The sequence below is a fragment of the Homo sapiens genome, chromosome 4, assembly GCF_000001405.40.
Source record: "Homo sapiens chromosome 4, GRCh38.p14 Primary Assembly".
NCBI classification, from domain to species: domain Eukaryota; kingdom Metazoa; phylum Chordata; class Mammalia; order Primates; family Hominidae; genus Homo; species Homo sapiens.
In genome coordinates, this window is record NC_000004.12 from 129478401 (window position 1) to 129479743 (window position 1343).

Genomic DNA, 1343 nt, shown 5'->3' on the forward strand with positions numbered 1-1343 from the left:
ATTTTTAGTAAAGACGAGGTTTCACCGTGTTGGCCAGGATGGTCTCGATCTCCTGACCTCGTGATCCACCCGCCTTGGCCTCCCAAAGTGCTGGGATTACAGGTCTGAGCCACCACACCCAGCCCAAAAATATTTTTAATGGCCATATCTAGAATAATTCCTGGTATTAACTTAAACTTCATCAGTTTATAATGTGCAAATCCACCTTCTTTTTTCTGAACAATCTAAATCTAATTTGTCTCTAGTAAGCCAGTTCCTCTCTTGTTCTCTGACTATTCAAATCTTAAAGGGTTTTATGTGAATAATCCTAAATAACCCCCAGATATAAAAAATCAGCCAGGCCAGAAGCTATAGACACATTTAGACCTGTGACTTAAAGTCCTTTCGAAAAGCATTGGCATTTTGAAAATGGTTTTCACCCTAAGATTATTCCATCTGCTAGAGGAATCAGGAGGATAATATAAACTGAACATTTCTATAACAAAAAAAATGAGTGTCTAATTTTTGTTAGAGATTGTCTTATTTAGACAAATAAGACTTGGTTCCTGATCTCTAGAAGTTCCCAACCTATGGAAGTACATCCTAATATTTGGTTAGTATTTTGCATTGTATTACACATCTTAGCATGTACTTTCTCAATTAATTGTGCTTCCTTTTGTCACTATTTTGTCATTTCCTTTTTTGGGCATTACTTCTTCCTTATATTTTTTTCATACTCAGAACATAGCTTCAATTATCCTTTTTATTGTCTTTAGAGTTTTCCTTATTTAAGGAAAGCTTCTTTCTTTCTTTCTTTCTTTCTTTCTTTCTTTCTTTCTTTCTTTCTTTCTTTCTTTCTTTCTTTCTTCCTTCCTTCCTTTCTTCCTTTCTTTCTTCCTTTCTTTCTCTCTCTCTCTCTCTCTCTCTCTTTCTTTCTTTCTTTTTCTTTCTTTCTTTCTTTTTTGAGACGGAGTCTCATTCTGTTGCCCAGGCTGGAGTGCAGTGATGCCATCTCAGCTCACTGCAACCTCTGCATCTCGTGTTTAGGTGATTCTCCTGCCTCAGCCTCCCTAGTAGCTGGGACTACAGGCATGTGCCACCACACCCGGCTAATTTTTATTTTTGTATTTTTAGTAGAGATGGGGTTTCACCATATTAGCCAGGATGGTCTCAACCTCCTGACCTCGTGATCTTCCCGCCTCAGCCTCCCAAAGTGCTGGGATTACAGGTGTAAGCCACCGCACCTGGCCTACGGAAAGCTTATTTCTAACAGTCTGTGTTAGTTTTTTATTCTTGCTGTAATGAATTACTACAAACATCATGGCTTAAAGGAACACAGTTTATCACCTCATATTCTGCAGTTT